The 19,069-nt window shown below is 34.3% G+C and overlaps 1 long non-coding RNA gene across 1 annotated transcript in view; it reads left to right on the top strand.

Annotated features, from left to right (window-relative positions):
• Positions 1-19,069, top strand: part of LINC02220 (long intergenic non-protein coding RNA 2220) — a 155,415-nt gene that overhangs the window by 117,777 nt on the left and 18,569 nt on the right. Inside the window, exons 3-4 of the long non-coding RNA NR_147005.1 lie at positions 939-1,046; positions 13,016-13,164. This is a non-coding gene — a long non-coding RNA (long intergenic non-protein coding RNA 2220). The remainder of the gene's footprint in view (positions 1-938; positions 1,047-13,015; positions 13,165-19,069) is intronic.

The raw sequence follows: 19,069 nt of genomic DNA, 5'->3' as shown, positions 1-19,069 counted from the left end.
ATAATATATATACTTTTTTCAAGGAATGTTATTTTTCCTTGTTATGAACAGAAAGTTTTGTGTTACTCCAAAATTCCCGGGTTGAAGCCTAATTCCCAGCGTAATGATATTTGGAAATGGGAACTTTGGGATAATTAGGCTATGAAGATGGAGACCTCATGAATGGGGGCTAACCCCCTTAAAAGAAAATACATCAGAATGCTTGCTTCCTCTCCCTCTACTCTCCACAATGTGAGGGCACAATAATGACTGTAAGCAATAAATATTTGTTGTTTAAGCCACCTAGTCTATGGTAGTTTTTTATAGCAGCCCAAACTGACTAACACATTTTCCGTCTTAATATATGGTATCTTTTTATTTAGTTGAGTAACAGGAAGTAAGTAGTCATTGTAATCCTTAACTTTTTTACCATGTCACTCCTACACGTGATCAGCTATGAAGTCTTGTTGACTCTACCTACAGAATTCTCTCTACTTTTATTTGGAAATATCACTTGGAAACTCATGATACTATATTAATATACATATTTTCTTCTTGAATGTAAGCTCTGTGTATCAGTATTTATCTTCTACATCATGAGTATCTCCTATTCCTTTTGTTAAAAACATTTCTGTGCATATATTTACTTGTACTAAGAAAATGCCTTCATTTTATTTTTTTTCCTTTATCATGTGACATAATATTTATTGACCTCATATCAGCTTTAAGTGTTGTTACTTTATGTAATAGCAATAATTCTAACTATTATTTTGGACATTATACATGATTCAGAGTAGATGAATGAATATTTATTTTAAAAATGATGGATTTTTTAAATTTAAAGACAACAGTACCCTATGTATTTTTTTATAGAACCAGAGGCAAATGCTAAAGGAGTATTTAAAAATTCTGCCTGAATCACATATCTGATTATGCTCATATTTCTCCTCATTTACTAGATATCCAAAACATCATTCACTGTTAAATCCAGGAAACATCCTTGGATTTGGAAATTATGGAAGGAGAAATTATTATTGGAACTGTACTGAACCTTTAGCTCAATTAAGGTGAGGTATATATCCCAACAATATTCTATGTAGATGATATATTTCCCCATTTATTCTTGGTGTCTTTTTAAAGAAATTCACTCAGCAAAATTTAGATATTTTTAATGTAAATATTTTATATTGTTTGTATAATTGACTTTTATGCATTTTGAGTTTTTGTTGATATTATCGAACTGGTGCCATTTTTATTTTACTACAATATTCTCATTGTTTTTATGTTTTTAAAACATCAACAGATAAAATTGTATATATTTATTGTGCATGATATGTTGTTTTGTATTATATATACATTGTAGAATGGTTAAATCTAGCTAATTAACAAATGCAGTACCTCACATATTTATGCTCGTGGTGACAACCTTTAATATCCTCTCTCTTTGCATTTAAATTGTCTAATTGTTTGCTCCTAGTACATACAAACACAATTGATTTTTGTATATTAGCTTGTATCTATTGACCTTGCTGAATTCACTTGCTACTTCTAGAAGTTTAATGGTAGATTCCTTACTATTCCTATGTATACAGTCATCTGTATACATAGTAACAGTGATCTGTATACACTGGAACAGGTTACAGTAATCTGTATACCTAGGAACAAGTTACAATAATCTGTATACATATGAATAGTAAGGAATCTACCATTAAACTGCTAGTAAGGAATCTACCATTAAATCTTCCATCTGTAAAGAAGGGACTTTTCTTTCTTTTTAAATTTCATGCCTTTTATTTTTCTTCGTTGACTCTTTATAATGACTAGGATCTCTTAATGTGGCACAGATGTGGTGAGAATGGACACACTTACCTTCTAACTATGGAGGATACTATCATTTTACAGATGGACCGGGAGAGATCCAGGCATATCTCTGGGAATACATGTATGTCTGGTTTTAACTGTTGACCAAGTTGAGGGCTATGAAAGTTGTGATATGCAGTTAAATTTTAAAATACTGCTGGTAACTCCAGGGCCAGTTTTATTTTTGATGGCTTTCACCTGACATAACTGGTTATACAGACTTGTATGGCTATATAACCAGAGGGACAGAGGGGAACTTCCACTAGCTAAGGTCTTCATTCAAATATTGGGGGTTCAACCTGGAGACAGAGCTTTCTGTGTCCATGTACAAATAAGAATCACCCAGGGGGACTGTGCCTGGATATCTCTCAAATGCACAATGTTGCTTGTACTCTTGTTTTTTTGTTTTTTTTGTTTTGTTTTTTTTTTTTTTGCCATACCCTAGCCATTACCTCGAAATAAAACCCTCATGTGAGTATGCTCTGTGAAGATTTTTTTGTATTTTTTTAAATGTTCAAACTTGGAACATCTTTGATCTATCGTATTGGGAAAGCATTCAGTTTTTCACCACTAAGCGTGATACTAGTTTTCATTACTTTTATTTTCATAGATGCTCTTTATCATGTTCAGGAATTTTCTTTATATTCTTAGTTTCATGTTGAATTTAAAAAATACTATATTTTGAAATGATCATAGTTTTTATCATTGATTCTATTAATATTCTTAACTGCATTCTTTGATTTTTCAAATGTAAACTAACCTTTCATGGCTAGGATAACCTTTAATTGCTTATTGTATAGTATTTTTTTTTCTTTTTCTTTCTTTTTTCTTTTTTTAACTTTTAAACTCAGGGGTGCAAGTGCAGGTTTGTTACATAGGTAAACGTGTGTCATGGGTGTTTGTTGTACAGATTATTTCATCACCCAGGTATTTAGCCTAGTACCCATTAGTTATTGTTCTTGATCTTCCTCCTCCTTTCCTCCACCCTCCAAAAGCCCCAGTGTGTGCTGTTCCCCTCTATATGTCATGTGTTCTCATCATTTAGCTCTAAAGGAATATACATCATTCAAGTATTATTTTCTATATTGCTTAATAGACTCAGTTAATATTTTGAGAAGGCTTTTTTGCATCTGTATTCATGAGGGATATTTGTTTGCTTGCTTGCTTCTTTTCTTGTTTGAACATTTTCAACAGGTTTGGTTTTTATGCCTATACTGGTCCTATATGAAATGAGTTAGGAAGTATTATTTCTGTTTTTAGTTTCTGAAAAACTTTATGAATAATTAGTACCATTTTTCCTTTAATATTTGGTAGAATTCAGCACTAAGCCATTTGGGTTGGGTGTTTTCTTAAAGGAAATTTGTTGATAATTAATTCAATTTTTGAGCTCTGTGGGGCTAGTTACATTTTGTTTCATCATATGTCACTTGTGATGAGTTTCGTTTTTTCAAGGAATCTATGGATCTCATATAAAAAAAGTTGTCTTAACTTTTCGGCATAAGTTGTTCCTAATGTAATCTTATTATCTGCTTAACATCTATATGATCTGGGTTGATAAAAATTATTTTATTTTTCTTTCTTTTTTTATTATATTCGGGGTCTTTTTTTTTATCTTCTCAAAAAAGTCAAATTTAACTTTGTTAATTTATTATGCATCTATGTATTATATATACACGATCTAAATATATACTTTTTGTTTTACTTTCTACATTATCAGTTTTCTTGGGTAACTTTTTAAATATGATTTTTATTGTGTAGTTTTTAGTCTTCAACTTCTGAATTTTGGAGTTTCCCCGAGCTTAAATACAGACCCTGCTCTTTTCTCTTTCTCTACAATAGCTCTATATGATCTCATCCAGACCTATGGTTTTAAGTGCCGTCTAAAAGAAAGCTGTTTTGAAATTTATGTCTCACAGTCCTAGATTTGACCATGAGAGCTTTTGGAATTTCCTGTTTATTACTGCTGTTCAAATCTAACCAGGATGTATTGAAGTGTGATTCTTTTATTCGTACTGCTTATTAACACTGGATCTCTAGAACAGAAATACTCTTTTCTTTCTTCAGACGATGAAAAATTTATTCCATTTTTAAATGGAATTCTCCCCTCCATTCTTTTAGTTCTCTAATTTAAAACTCTTAATATATTGTAAATGTGGCAAATTATTATCTTTCATTATATAATTTCTTTTGTTTTTCCTTCATTTTATACCAGATACTCTTCTGTTTTTTAAGGTGTACATTTTCTTAAATCTAGCGATACTGATAAGAGTTAAAATAGTTTGTGCTGTGTGTATGTGTGTGTGTGTGTGTGTTGCCTGATAAGAGCAGCTGTTGGCAGTTGACATTTTTGGTTAAAAGTCTGTTCTGAATATAATAAATAGCTGCTATGGATGTCATCCAAATCTCATCTGAGGTTGCTTAATCTTTTCCCCTCATAGGTTATTTTAATAAATCAGAGTGATGAATTGAATTTCATGTCAGAGAGTCCAGTGAATCACATGGTTAGCATTTCCCTAGGATATGAGGTCTTAGGCAATGAAGTTACAAATTTCTGGAACTTTCAGCATAGCGAGGTTTTCCTCTGGTTTTGGAAGACATCCGTGTAACACCTTCCCAGATACAACTGCTTTCTCTCTCTATTTTTTTTTCTCCCTCTGGTCCTATTGTAGTGTTCTGAAATTTCCTCATATTTCTGCTCTGATTGTCTTCCAGGCTTCAATACTTTATTAGTAGCCCTTAATTTCCAGGGTGGAATGTAGAGAAAGGAGTTATAATAATTAGTAACAATGGATTTGTGACTGCTTAGTCTTTATCTAGAAATATTAAGACTTCTTTTTATTAACATTGATGGCTATGTATAAAATCAGTGAGTTGGTTGCTCCCACAAGTGAATTGAACATGCTAGAGTCTTAAAAATAAGAAGGATGTGCTCAATATTCCTTTGCTGTATTTGTCATATAGTCAGTGTTATGTATGTATTAGACAACTCTAGTGAAATATTTCCTTTCCTCAGGCAATAAACTGTTAAAAAAAAAAGTGGAAATTACATCCACACAAAACCTGCTCTGTCTGTATTACTTAAATAGTTTTAACTTGACAGCCTTCTCAATGGAAGCAGAAACAGTTATTGTAGACTCCAGCTTTGGAAATCACAGAGACACTTTAAAGAAATACATTTTTAAAGTTTTTGATTCCATGTAATAAAGAAATAATAAAAGTTTGTTGGCCTGAATACAAGACAGCATTTATCACAAAGTATGCTTTTACAAAAAATTACTATCTCAAATATATTAAACATCTATAAGATGGCCACTACAGGGGAGAGTATAATGTTGAAAACTATAATGATTTTGTGATGTGCCAAATAGTAAATCAAACAATTTTCATGCATAGGGCATACAATAAAAGCTAGAATATTTGCAAATTCTATCATCTCCTACATGTGCATCATGTATATGTAAATGCTATTTGTGAGTTATACTAGGAAACCACCAAAAAATTGACAATAAGGATCTCTGTTAGTTGTGTCTTTGCTTGGGACAGAATTCACGTTTCAGTAGCAGGTTGCATATTCTAGGAGACCACAAAGTGTTTAGATCTGGGTAACTCAGAACAACACATAAATTATATATCAATATAAATGAACATATATATACACATATATATAAACCATCAATGGTATTGTTGATAATGTGCAGCATTATAAGCAATTATATTATAAATGACAGGTGTATTGTATTCAACAATATACATAATTACATTGTAAACAACATAACTCTTTATAATGCTGCACATTATCAACACTACCATTGAGCTCATATTTTATATAACACACTGCACAATTACTGTTGAAATTTCTAGAGGTCTTGTGACAAAATCTTACCTCTAGGTTTACAGAAGAAAATCGGGTATTAAATATTTAGAATCATCAAAATTCATAATGATTTTGTGAAAAACAGAGTCTCAGACTTCGTTGATTCATGTTCTAATACTCAACCTTCTTAGGTTACAATTACAGCTCTTAATGTTTGGACATCATTGAAGTATGTACGTCTATCAGAAATTAATGCCTTCAGACAGGTGGAAGAGACACTAGAATAGCACATACTGTGACCACTTATTAGCAACATCACGCAGGTCCAGATAAATCGAAGAATGTTTTGTAGAAAAGGTAAATGTAAGCTATATATTAAATAAGTAGTTTAGTAAAAATATTAAATTTATTATGATGACACATTTGATTTCTATCCTGAATCATCTTGAATCATAAAAATGTTAAGTGATCCTCAGCCTGATCTAGAAAAACAATTAGGAAAAATGTGTTACTGTTTTTCCAATTACCCACATAGGTTCTCCCAACTATTGGAAAAATTGCAAAATGAAAGCATAGAAAATTGGGATGTTTCTCAACTTTTCAAAATAAACTAAGTTCCTAGAAATGTGGAGCCAAATCGTAATTATTTACCATTGTAAGGAGTTTAGGTAACTGTATTTCATACATTCCCTAGTCAAAATGATATCATGGAGAATTAAAGTTGTATTGAAGTGCTCATAGCAATATTTTAAATAATGACATTGCTCTAAATCAAGAATCTTTATATCTGAATATATAGTCAGTATTAAAAATCTTTAGTTGTGATTTGAGTAATTACTAAAGGTTTGCAATAGCTGAGGTTCAGACTTGCCAAGAAGAAATTTCTTAATTAAACAAATAGTACTTTTTAAAGTAACTAATAAAATGAAGTACATGCACAATGAGGAGACACAATTTAATAAAAAGAGATATATATACTTGCATTGGGGGAAATACCTTGCTCCGGGTCTCACTATAGTTTACTAACTGTTAAGGCCAATATTCTGTTTCTGTTTCAAACAAGATCTCAGTAGTCTAGATCTCTAGAATTTTGAAGATAAATCAAATGGCTTTGGAACATGTAAATACATGGCTACTATTTACTTCATGTGTCATATGGCCCATGTTCCATTGTGTGGAGCTGCTATATACTTTGTTGGATATAGTCTCTGGTGGGCTGCCTGTTAATGTTAGATTATACAACTTTTGTCTTAGTCCATTTTGTGTTACTATAACAGAATACATGGTATTGGGTAATTTATAAGGGAAATAAATGTATTCCTTACAGTTCTAGAGGGTGGGAAGTCTAATATCAAGGAACCCCCATCTTGCAAATGTATTCCTGCTGTCATCTCATAGCAGAAGGCGGAAGGGCAAGAAAGCACAAGTGAGTCAGAGGGGGTGGAACTTGCTTTTATAGCAGGCATACTCTCATGATAAAGAACTTATTACTGTAATATGAATGTCAATTCATTTATGAGGGTAGAGCCCTTATGATCTCATCACCTGCACCTGGAAATTAAGTTTCCAATATATGCTTTTTGGGAACACATTCAAACCGTAACTATATTCTGTATATTGAAAGACAGAGCAAAAATTGTTTCTGCTAAGTCCCTATTAAAAAAAATTCAAGAGTCTGCTATTGACACTACAACTTTTTTTTTAATTTGTGTAATTATCCAGTATTATGGAGCTGCTTTCAGAAAAAGTATTCTAACATTTATATCACTTTTAAGTATCCTAAGCATTTTGCTTTGCAATTCTAATTGGATCCAGTCAGTAGCAGAACAATAAATGTGGAATTTTTTTCAATAACTAGAAAGATAAAATTGAAAAGAAGAATGCATGGATATACATCTTAAAGTATGTTGATCACATTACAATTAATCCTTGGTATGGTTTGGATTTGTGTCCCCACTCAAATCTCTTGTCAAATGGTAGGAGGGGACCGCTGGAAGGTGATTGAATCATGGGGCAGATTTCCTCCTTGCTGTTCTTAAGATAGTGAGTGAGTTCTCCCTAGATCTGATGGTTTAAAAGTGTGTGGCATTCCTCCTTCACTCTTTCTCCTGTCACCTTGTGAAGAAGGTGCTTGCTTTCACCTTCTGCCATGATTGTAAGTTTCCTGAGGCCTCCCCAGCCATGCAGAACTGTGAGTCAAATAAGCTCACAATTATGTCAATTTATGAATTACCCAGTTTCAGGTAGTTCTTTATAGCAGTGTGAAAATGGACTAATACAATCCTCAAAATAAGTAAATTAAAAATGTTATGCTTGAGTAATTATTTCACAATGCATAATAAAACTAAACAATGGTGAGCAGGTTGAGGGAGGGGTGAAACTTGCAGTGGGATAAAAATAAAATAAATTATTACACTGTACAATTTATTGTGTTGTAGACTAAAATATTAGATAGTAAACTATTAAATATGGATATTCACAAATTATGTGGTTCAAAGTAATATTCTATGATCGAAATAGCCTTTCTTTAATAAGAAATATTATAAACAAAGGCTCAAAATTTCCTTCAAAGGTGTTTCTTTAGCTAGAACAACTATTTTTGGAGTTGTGTTTTGAAATGTGTTTGCAGAGCCATCTACTTACCATTTTGCCATCATATGTCTCTATTGTTCAAATTCTTTCATATCACACGTTCTCTGCTTTATCCTGAGAGCATTTGTTTTTATGATCACCATGTAGGGATTTACTTGAAAAGTGAAAACAGATACTATTGTGGATTGATTGTGACCCAGATTGTTATGCCTTCCTGCATCCACAATCTTTTGCAATAGGACTTTGTCCACTATCACAAATGGCAAAATCAGTTTTCTAAAGGCTTTAATTTGAGCCAACTTTGTGACTTATTTCTTTCAATAGAACATAGAGATAGTGATGTTCTGTCATTTATAAGGCTAACCTTGATAAAGAGGCAGACATAGCTTGCAGGATAATAAAAGGCATCTTGGAGTGGAGGTCAGTTTTTCTAGATGAGGCTGTCTAATAAACTATAGCAAAATATGTGACAGAGCCCAAGAGTAGTCAGCTTAGGTGTGCACCTACAGCTGCACACAGACACATAAGTAAGCCCAGTCAAGGCCCAGAGATTTCTCCAGATGACTTGTAGACTACAAGTAATGCATGCTTTATGTTTATGCCATCAAATTTTTTTGTACTAACTACTGGTAGCAATATAAAAATATTGTATGCTTGGACACTATAATTTTATGTTTTGCAGTCACCTGTAAATTGTAGACAAAGACAACAGAGCCCAGAAAAAGTAAATCCAATTAACATAATATTCTGTCGAAATTTAGAAAAAAATATGTTTAGTGTCTGTGTAGCTTTGCTTATCACTGATAATCTCTAAACCATATTAACTAGTTTAAAATGACAACACTCACTTTTCTCCATCCTTGCTTTGAGCTAGTGGTAATTTCCTCACACAGAACCATGCCACTCCTCTGTAAAATAAGTAATTAAATGGTGTTCATGGCTGTTTATTTCCGAGAGGTATACATCTATTAGTATATCATTAGAAACTCCTTTGCAACATATTCTCAACCAACATTAGAGATCCCACCTTCTGCCACTGAACCTTAGGATTCTTATTCCTCAGTCACAGCCCTCAAGTCTGTGATGTCTGAATGCACCATGCTCACTTTCCTTCCTGACTTTGTTGCCATCTCCAACTAAGGAACTAGTGCTCATTTCAAAGACACAGTTAAACATTCCTCTCTTTGGTGAAGCCATATTTGGTTCTGAAGGCAATACAATCAGCTTTTATTTTGTGCTCTATGAGCCTGTAGTAGTTTTCTTTTGCTACATAACAAATCATCAAAATTTGGAAACTTAACACTCTGATGTCAGGAGTTCAAGACCAGCCTGACCAACATGGAGAAACTCCGTCTCTACTAAAAATATAAAATTAGCCGGGCGTGGTGGCACATGCATGTAATCATGTAATCCCCAGCTATTCAGGAGGCTGAGGCAGGAGTATCACTTGAACCTGGGAGGCGGAGGTTGCAGTGAGTCAAGATTGCACCATTGCACTCCAGCCTGGGCGAAAAGAGAGAAACTCTGTCTCAAACAAAACAAAACAAAACAAAACAAAACAAAACAAACACTAATTTATCATCTCACAGTTCTGTAAACCAGAAGTCAAAGAAGAAAAAAACTGCATTTTCTGCTTATGGTGTCTCCAAGATCCATCTATCTTCTGCACAGGCCAAATGGGAGAGTTGAATGGGGATGTGGTGGGAATCACCACCTCTGCTTCTTTCAAGTCCTTGATGGTGGCACTGATCTCTGCAGTCCCTCCAAGGATGCGATATTGGTTTTGATTTACGAATTTTCTAGGTATCAGTAACTCTAATGGTTTCCATTTGGATTTTCCCACCATAATAGCCCTCACCCTACCACTCAAGGAGCCAATGTGGGGTTTCTGCCAGCTGCTAAGTATATCCATGCCAACTATGCAGTCTGGCACTGGGGAAATGACCACAGGATGAGTTTGGAGACCCACTGTAAGTCGGAACTGAGCTAAAACTCCATTAATTTTCTGACCTCCAGGAACCCCTACCTTAACTGGAGGACCACAATGATGTTTTGGGTCCCCTGGAATCAGTGTCAGTAGTCCAGTAGTCCAATAGTCCCCAAAATGTCTGATCATTTCCCTTTCCCCAGTGCACAGTTACCCTGGTAGAAGGCTGGAGGTCTCCTTGGGGATGGCTAGTGGAAAAATTAACAGAATAAATTGTCAGTAGTGCAGTGGGGTCCTTCTCAAGGGGACCCGGCCTCCCCTTCATTCAAGGGATTCTGGGTTTGTAAACTGGCTCAAGTCTGGAAATTGATTGAGGGGCTGTGATTCTCTGTTTTCATAATTCAAATTAGTCTTTTGTCCACTAAACCTAGAAGTTTTCTGTTTATATAAATTAAGCAGGAATCATCCTTTGGGATGAAGAATTTACCAGTAATTTACTTGGATGGCATGAGGTTTAGGTGACATAAAATAGAATGTTGTCTTCAGTAGCAAGTTTAGTACACAGAAAATACACAAATAAATGAGCAAATTAAAGGTTTTCCTATTTCCAGTATCACTGAAAGTTTCTAAAGAGTTAATAAGGATCTGTCTCATGTGCATGTACACATCAAGGCCACCAGTGGTGTTGAGAATACAGCTTCCTGTAATAAATCAGAAACGAGCATTTAGGATACGAAAAGAAAAATGATAATAGAATGCTAAGTGCAAGTTGAAGAATTTTTAACATTAAATGAATTCTGCTTGTTAAAGATCTTTTATAGGCATACAATAATTAACTTCTATACTCTGTGGGATTCTCACTAACAATGGATGAGAGTTCTGGTTGTTCCACAGCCTTGCCAACATTTGTACATTCAGTCTTTTTCATTTTAGCTTTTCTGTGGGATTTGTAGCTTGGTGTGGTTTAAATTGCATTTCTTTTATGACTAATGGTGTTGAGCATGAGCATTTTTAAAGTGCTTATTAGTCATTTACATATTTTAATGAAACAGTTCAAATTTTTGCCCATTGGGGATGTTTCTAGACTATGTTGTGCATATATTTTCTCCTAGAATGTGACTTTCTTATATATTTTTAAGGGTGACGATTGATGAGCAAATTGTTTAGTTTTGATGAAGTCTAAGTTATCCATTTTTCCCTTATTTTTACTACATTTTGTGTCCTAGGAAAATGTTGTCTACTAGAAATTATGGCAAAAACCTACTAAACTAGTTTTCTCCTAAGCTCCTTTTGCTTTAGCTTTTAAGTTTAGGCATATGGTCTACTTTTTGTACATAGAATGAGATAGAGTTCAAGGTTAATTTTATTCCATATGGATGTCCAGCTGTCACGAAATATTTGCTGAAAAATCTTTTATTTTCCTTCTGTGCTGCTTTGGAATCTTTGTCAAATATCATGTGGCCGTGTAAGTGTGGCTGTATTTCTGTATTCTCTATTTGGTTCTATTAATCCATTTTTCCTTCCTTAATGCTAACACTGTATAATCTTGATTAGAATTAGTTTATAATAATTATTGATGTCAGGTAATTTAGGCTACCCAACAGTACTGTTTTTCCAGACAACTGGACATTTTTGAATTTTCATACATATTTTAGGAAGAACTTTCCAAGTTCATCAAAAAAAAAAAAATCTGCTGCGTTTGTGACTGGGATTGTGTTAATTTCACTGATTACTTTGGAGAGAAATTACATTTTACAGCATTGACTCCTAAAACATGAACATAGAATATGTCTCCATTTATTTTGATCTCCATTAATTTAACAAAGCAATGTTTTGGTTTCTATTGTAGATGTTTTTCACAACATTTATTAAGTTTATTCTTTTGTAGCATATTAATTTGATGCTCTTTAAATGGATACACACATTGGGTTGTGCCCTTCACACTAATTCTGGACTTTGGCCCGTGAGGCAGAAGCTGACTTGATGAAAGGAGAGATTTGGAAAACCTCTTGCTGCCTTTGGAATTTTGCTGCTGCATGAGCAGACTGAAACGGTCTGTTGGATTATGAGTGACACATGGTCCAGTCTCTCCTTTTGCTCTTGATGGCAGTTACATAACCTGCTGACATGAGTGTGAAGCAATGTATCCTGAACCAGCCACCCTGAGCTGACCTGCCAACCGACTGCAGATGATGAGTGAACGAGATTAGCCAAGCCCAGATTAGGTCAAAAGTACAAGAAAGAAGAATTGTGAGCTAAATAATTAGTTATCATCTTAACCCATTAGATTTTGGGGAGAGTTATTACATGTCAAAAGCTAACAACACAACACAGACATGCACACACATAGATGTATATATCTTATTTTCTTCTTTAATTTTATTTTAGTCTTTCCTTTCATTTATTTGTTCCTGATGTGAACATCTCTGAGAGAGCAAGAGGTAAGATATAGAAAGGAAAACAACAAGAATATGAAGTTTGTTATTTATAATATGATATTCTTTTTATGTGTACCATGTTGCACATCTGAAGTATTTATCTCCAAAAAAAAAAACTTTAAACAGTCTTCTCTTTTGAAAATACAAGTATTGCAGGTGTTTTTCCCCTAAGAAATCACTCCAGGGTAGTGATAAATTAGCCTTCTCTCTATGCTTTTTTTTTTTTTAATAAAATCTAAAGAATAGAAAATGGCAATTGGAGTCAGATATGGGAAAATTGGTCCAAAGTGATAGGTGGTAGTTTAAAATGACTATACTGGAGGGTACACAGTGTCCCTTCACTGGCCATCCTCTGTCCTTGTCAGGCTCAATCATTTCATTGTTCCTTTCTATAAAACTTTTCAGTTCAAAACAGATACAAAGCTATGAGCATGTATATGCAGAGGTAGATCAACCTGGAAGCTACTACAATAGTCCAGGTGAGACATCAAGAGGACAACTGAGGAAATAAAGTGGACATGGAGAAGAGGGAGAAGATTCAACTATTTATACAGGTAACTACTAGCAGTTAGTTCTGGAGGATGAGACAGGAAGCAACCTGGGATGACTCATGGAACAAATCTGCAAATCTTGCTGTCCACTGTATGGGAAGAGTTCCTCTGAAAGGCCACTTTCACAATCTTCTCTAAAGGCATGCCTGTCCCTCAATATGAAATTGTGAGATCCCTAGGCCCCATTAGTAGAGAGAAGTCCATAAGATGAGTCCACATTCTACACGACACACAACCCCTCTTGTTACTAAAATTTTTTTCTGGAGACACCAGGGCATGTTCTCAAGAAGATTATTTCTTGTACTGCTCACAGGTTAATGTCTATTAACTTGTCAGGCACATGACATCAGCTGGGACCTTTAAAATGTCACTTGGGAAGTTGAAGACCCTCTGTTCGAACTTGCCTCTTATTCCTGTCAGTCTCTGTAGTAAGGGTGCTCATGACATGACACACTGCAGAACATAGACAGTGATGCTCTGTGTTGCTTTCTCTCAATGATGATTTTTTTTCATTTGGCCATGAAATTATCCTTATTTAAGTTTCTGAATATTGATACTAACTATACTTTTCTTATTTTGTAATTGACACCAACACACTTCCTGGTTTCTCGACGCCATTCACCAAGGAGTTTGCTATTTGGCCAACATTCTTTTTCTATACAGCCTTGGCACAAACAACCACGTGGACCCACAGGACTTGACCTCTTACGCTCATCTAGCAAAACCACTTTATTTCTTATACTCTAACAAACAAAAGTAGGTCCCTAAAGTTCTCTTTTTTCTCTGTTCAGTTGGAAAGGAAGTTCTTACTTTTTCAAAACTTCTTATAATCATAAATGGCTGTATTTAAGTACCCCAGCTAGAAGGAGAGTCCCCAGATAGTTGGTTATCTGTTCTGTCTTCAGATAACTGGATACACAAAAGTCGTTCAACATCAGACTTGAGTGTGGGTACCTTAGTTGATGGCTGCAGATCCAATCTGTCTTCTCAAATTTCTTATGAAATTCCTATTCCTTCTCTAAAACTGTATATAACAAGAAATAGACCATTATCCAACAAGATGTCTTATTTTTTGTGTGCTCGCTACTTTCTTACTTTCCCTTTAAAATATTCTTCAAACTCACCAATACTATTGTTTTTCTTTCTTTTTTTTTTTTTTTTTTTTTTTTTTGATATGGAGTGTAGCCCTGTCACCCAGGCTGGAGTACAATGGCACGATCTTGGCTCACTGCAGCCTCCGCCTCTGCCTCCCGAGTTCAAGCGATTCTCCTGCCTCAGCCTCCTGAGTAGCTGCCACCATACCCAGCTAATTTTTTGTATCTACAGTAGAGACGGGGTTTCATCATCTTGACCAGGCTGGTCTCGAACTCCTGACCTCGTGTTCTGCCCGCCTTGACTTCCCAAAGTTCTGGGATTACAGGCGTGAGCCACCTCATCCAGTCTATTGATATTTTTCCACCCTTCCATTTCTCTCAGCTGATTTTTTATTATACTTGTTTCCTTTCCCTTTCCTTTCTCAAAGCGCTTCATTCCTTTTGTCCACCAGCCTTTTTCCAATGTGTTTGGCATCTTCACTTTCCTTCTCTTTCTTGCATATTTGCTCTGGTGTCATGGAAAAAAAATAACCATTTTCTCAGGTCTTTAGTGTGTACAGTGCAAAGTAAATTTATGTTAAAGCAATGACTTCAGCTGATACTTCAGCACCACTTTGAAACGTTTCTTTCTGTGACTCAATTTTTCTCTCATCTATATTCTCTCCCCGCACCCCTGTCTGTCTCTCTCTCTGTCTTTCCCACTTCCTCCCTCCCTCTCTCCATCCTCTCTCTTGCTTCAGTTAATGGCTCAGATCATTTCTTTCCTATCTTTCTCCACAGCTCCAGATCTGCATATTTCAGAGTCCTATGTCACCCCTTCCTGCTTGCTTCATAAACACCTTCACCCATTTTTGCTCATGCACCTTACGTTATCATTTTTATTTATCTGAGAGAATGGCACAATCACTTCACTAGTCACCTAGGTTTCATGCCTGCAAGCAATCTTAAGTCTCCCCCATCCCCTCATGACCAATATCTAACTATTTAATCAGTTCTTTAAATCAGAGTTCCAACCTATTTTTAATATCAACCCTCTCAATTCCACAAAATAGAAGATTTCTTTTTGTTTCTTTGTCCCAGATATTAGAATATTAGAAATTATATTATAATTATTTATGACAATGAAAAAATTAATAAGCACAACTCTTCTAAATGTAAAATTTAACTATTACCTATGTGGTCCAGGTCTATAATAATGAATTTTTATGAAATTTGAAAATACAATTGCAAGTGTAGAAAGATGTTCTGCTATATCATTTAACAGATTTGTTTTTCCTTTCCATACATATAATTTTATAAGTAAAACATTCCTGTTCTCCTTTATGAGGCGACATGTTTCAACAATTTTTGCCCTCTTGACAACATGTAATACCATTTCTGCTTTCAGTACCCTTAAGTAAACCTATGATCCATATTAGGAAAACAGCAAGTTAGCATTTTTTTTTTTAGTAAATTTTGAGTTAATGTGTATTGTATTTTACTTAGAGGCATTCTCTTTCTTGACATTTTATTCAATTACAAGCTGAAAAAAAACCATAGTTACCACCAGAAGTAAAATATAACTCCTGTGGATCTGCCTTGAAGTGGCATGATGAACAATTTTCCTTCTAACATCGACGTCATGTAGCATTAGCAAAATGACCTAAAGTGAGTTATTTTATTGTTTTATTAGAGTCATGTGAGACTAGCTAGACATTAAAAACAAGTATTCACAATTCACTTATGATTTTTGAAATATTCATTATTTGTGTATAAGTGTTAGCAAAGACAAAAACTGCTAATATACGAGTCATTTTTTGATAATTTCTCTGTCATTGTATTGACATGTAACAGTTGCCAAATAATTTAATTAACATATCAATGACTCTGCAATCTACTTTCCAAAAGGAACAATATTTCTAATGGTAAATTAGCAAATGGTAGCCTTCCAATAATTGTAAATCACTATACCAGTTAATATTTACGTATCCTATAGAAGATAATATGATGGCAGTTCAAAGATTTAAATTCTCAAGTTCAGCATTCCAACTGGTATTTCTTTCACCTTAGGCATTTGACCAGTAAATAACAGATACTAAATACGTACCTTGATGGCTTGGGTGTGACTTCAGGTTCTGAAAATGATGTTTCAGTCATAAGTAAATTAGTGAGAAGTCAGTTTGCTCCCTGACTCAATTACAATAAGTTAGAACTTTGCAGATCTAATACTATGAAAACCTTTAAAAAGTGACATGGGTATAAGAGAAGAAAGGTACTTCAATTAATAGTCTCATTGAATAGTTTTCACCTACTTACAGAATAGTTAACTGCCTCTTTCTTGCTAACAGAAAATATTGTTTTATAATAATAAAAATAAAAGATACTAATGCTAGTTATTATAAATACAGAAATTATAAAAGTATGAGGAATATACTGTAAGTTATCAATTACTATACACTTCTGAGAAAAACAGCCAAGTAAATTTTTATAAATTTCCATATTTGACAAACTGTGAAGAGGTTCTTAGAAGCTTATAGATTTTGAAATAATATTGAAGGTAACATAAACCAGTCATTAGTAGTGGGTAGTACTCAACTGACATATGACATATTGATTAATTTAAAAAAAATGTATGTTCATGCATCTATTCAAAAATAGGTAAACAGATGTAATATGGTCCCATCACTATCCCGGCACTTAGGATACACCTATTAACCACAAAGACAAAGATCCCTGCTCTTGTACAGCTTATATTCTATTGGGGAAACAAAGAATAAATAATATGTATAACACATGATGAAGTTGCGTAGCATGTGAGAAAGTGATAAATGCTATGGAAGAAAAAAAAATGTGGCACCAGGGAGGGAATGGAAATGATAGTGTTAACTAAGGTGGCAAGAGCTCATTGAAAATCTTAAGGCGGTAAATGAAGGTCGACTAAGCAGATACCTGGGCATTGGGCATTTGAGACAGAAGGAAGAGCCAAAGCAACAGCTTGGGGAAGTATGAGGTCTGGCTGAGCTGGAGGAAAAAGAAAGATGGTAATGAAAAACTATCATAAAGCAAAGGGTGATCAAGTGAGATACTGAGATTATCTATGCAATAGCACATTTGCTTGTTTCTGCCGAAGGCATGTGGAGGTGGGGGCACAGAAGAAAACAACAAGTAAGGGTGAAACTGAGGGAGGCCAAGAGGAGGGATGGTGTCTTTGCAGCGTAAAACTTGTGAAGGATGATTCTTAGAAATATGTTACTTAGTAAATATTTTTAAGTAATGATTAAAGGAGCACAAACATAAACATATGTTAATAGTTTAAATGGTGAATTAACTGTAAAGATTTTTAAAATATTAAGATTTTTAAAATATTAAGCAAATTTTTAAATATTAAAGATTTTAAAAATATTAAGCAAATTTTTAAATATTAAAGCAAAAAGAGTCAAACCAAAGTAGAAACACTTTTTAAAAAAGGACTTGCAAAGAAAATAAAAGGAAAGCATTGAAGGCAATATGATGAAGAAAGATGCTGAATTTTAAAGCAGAATATATTTTTATAAAAGAAAACAAGAGTAGTACTCTAAAAAGAAAATATTTTAGGAAAGAAGAAGGAAGGAAAGGAAGAAGGAAGGAAGAAAGAAAGGAAGGAAAAATTCCTCTCCTCTACTTGTAAGAATGCCAGACAATGTAAGAATCTTAGCCAATTTTTCTAACTAGGCTGATCTACACCACACAGCTGAAATCCTCCTGGCAGAGAGGATAAATAGCATACATCTCTTTCATTTACCCTTTAAGAATGGCACCTGATTTATCTGACATGAAACTGACTCTATATCCCTGGCATAGAAGGCGATGGTATTGTCAAAAAGAGAGCCTTCCATTTTAGAAATGTAGTAAAAAATCTTTCGTTGTCTTAGAGTGTTGGAAATATCCAATATCAATATGTTAAAGCAAATGACAACAAAAGAAACAAAACTTCTTTCTCTTGGGATAACATACCAATCTCCTTTTCTGCTTATAATTTGAGCATGAGTACTTTCTGTAAGTTTTCTTTTTGCTCAACCTCAAAGTGTTAAACGCCATTGAATGTTGTGTAAATTAATTGTGATTTTTAAAAGAAATCCTTTTAGCTGAGCTTAAGTCTCCATTTATGCTTTTAATTATATATCATTACCTGAAATAAACTCATTAAATGCTGAGTCCATAAGCTTATCTCTATGAAGTATTCCAAACTGCAACTAAGCCTTTTAACCCTCAAGGAAATTGATTAAAAGAGTGGAGGATTACATCTGCAATGTCTGAAATATATTTAAATTGCATATTTTTAGCCCTTAAGTTTCTGTATGGAGCAATAATATATTAAAGCTATTGTTTTCTAAGTTCCATTTTATAGTTTAATTCTTTATGATAAAAATTTTGTATTTCACATAATGAGTTAAGATATTCACAGCTTTTAACTTCACCTCAACCAAAATGACCAACTCCATTGTATTTATTTCCTAGCGCTGCCATAACTGGGTAGCTTAAAACAGGACATTGATTTTCTCACAGTTACGGAGGTTAGGAGTTCAAACTCAGCTGTTGGCACAGCCATCCTCCCTCCCTCCCTCTAGTAGAGGGTACTTGCCCGTCCTAGTAGATGGTAATTGCTAGCAAGCCTTGAACTTCCCTGGCTTGCTGCTGCTTCACTCTGATCTGTGCCTCTATTGTTGCCTGGCCTTCTTTCTTCTGTGTCTTTATGGCTGTCTTTCCTCTCCTCTACTGGTAAGAACCCAGTCATTGGACTTAGGGTGCACTCTAATCCAATATGAGCTCATTTTAAGTAACCACATCTGGAAAGA

This window comes from Homo sapiens, chromosome 5 (genome assembly GCF_000001405.40).
Source record: "Homo sapiens chromosome 5, GRCh38.p14 Primary Assembly".
Classification (NCBI taxonomy): domain Eukaryota; kingdom Metazoa; phylum Chordata; class Mammalia; order Primates; family Hominidae; genus Homo; species Homo sapiens.
The sequence above is the reverse complement of the archived record's forward strand: the minus strand, read 5'-3'. Positions and strand labels throughout refer to the sequence as shown.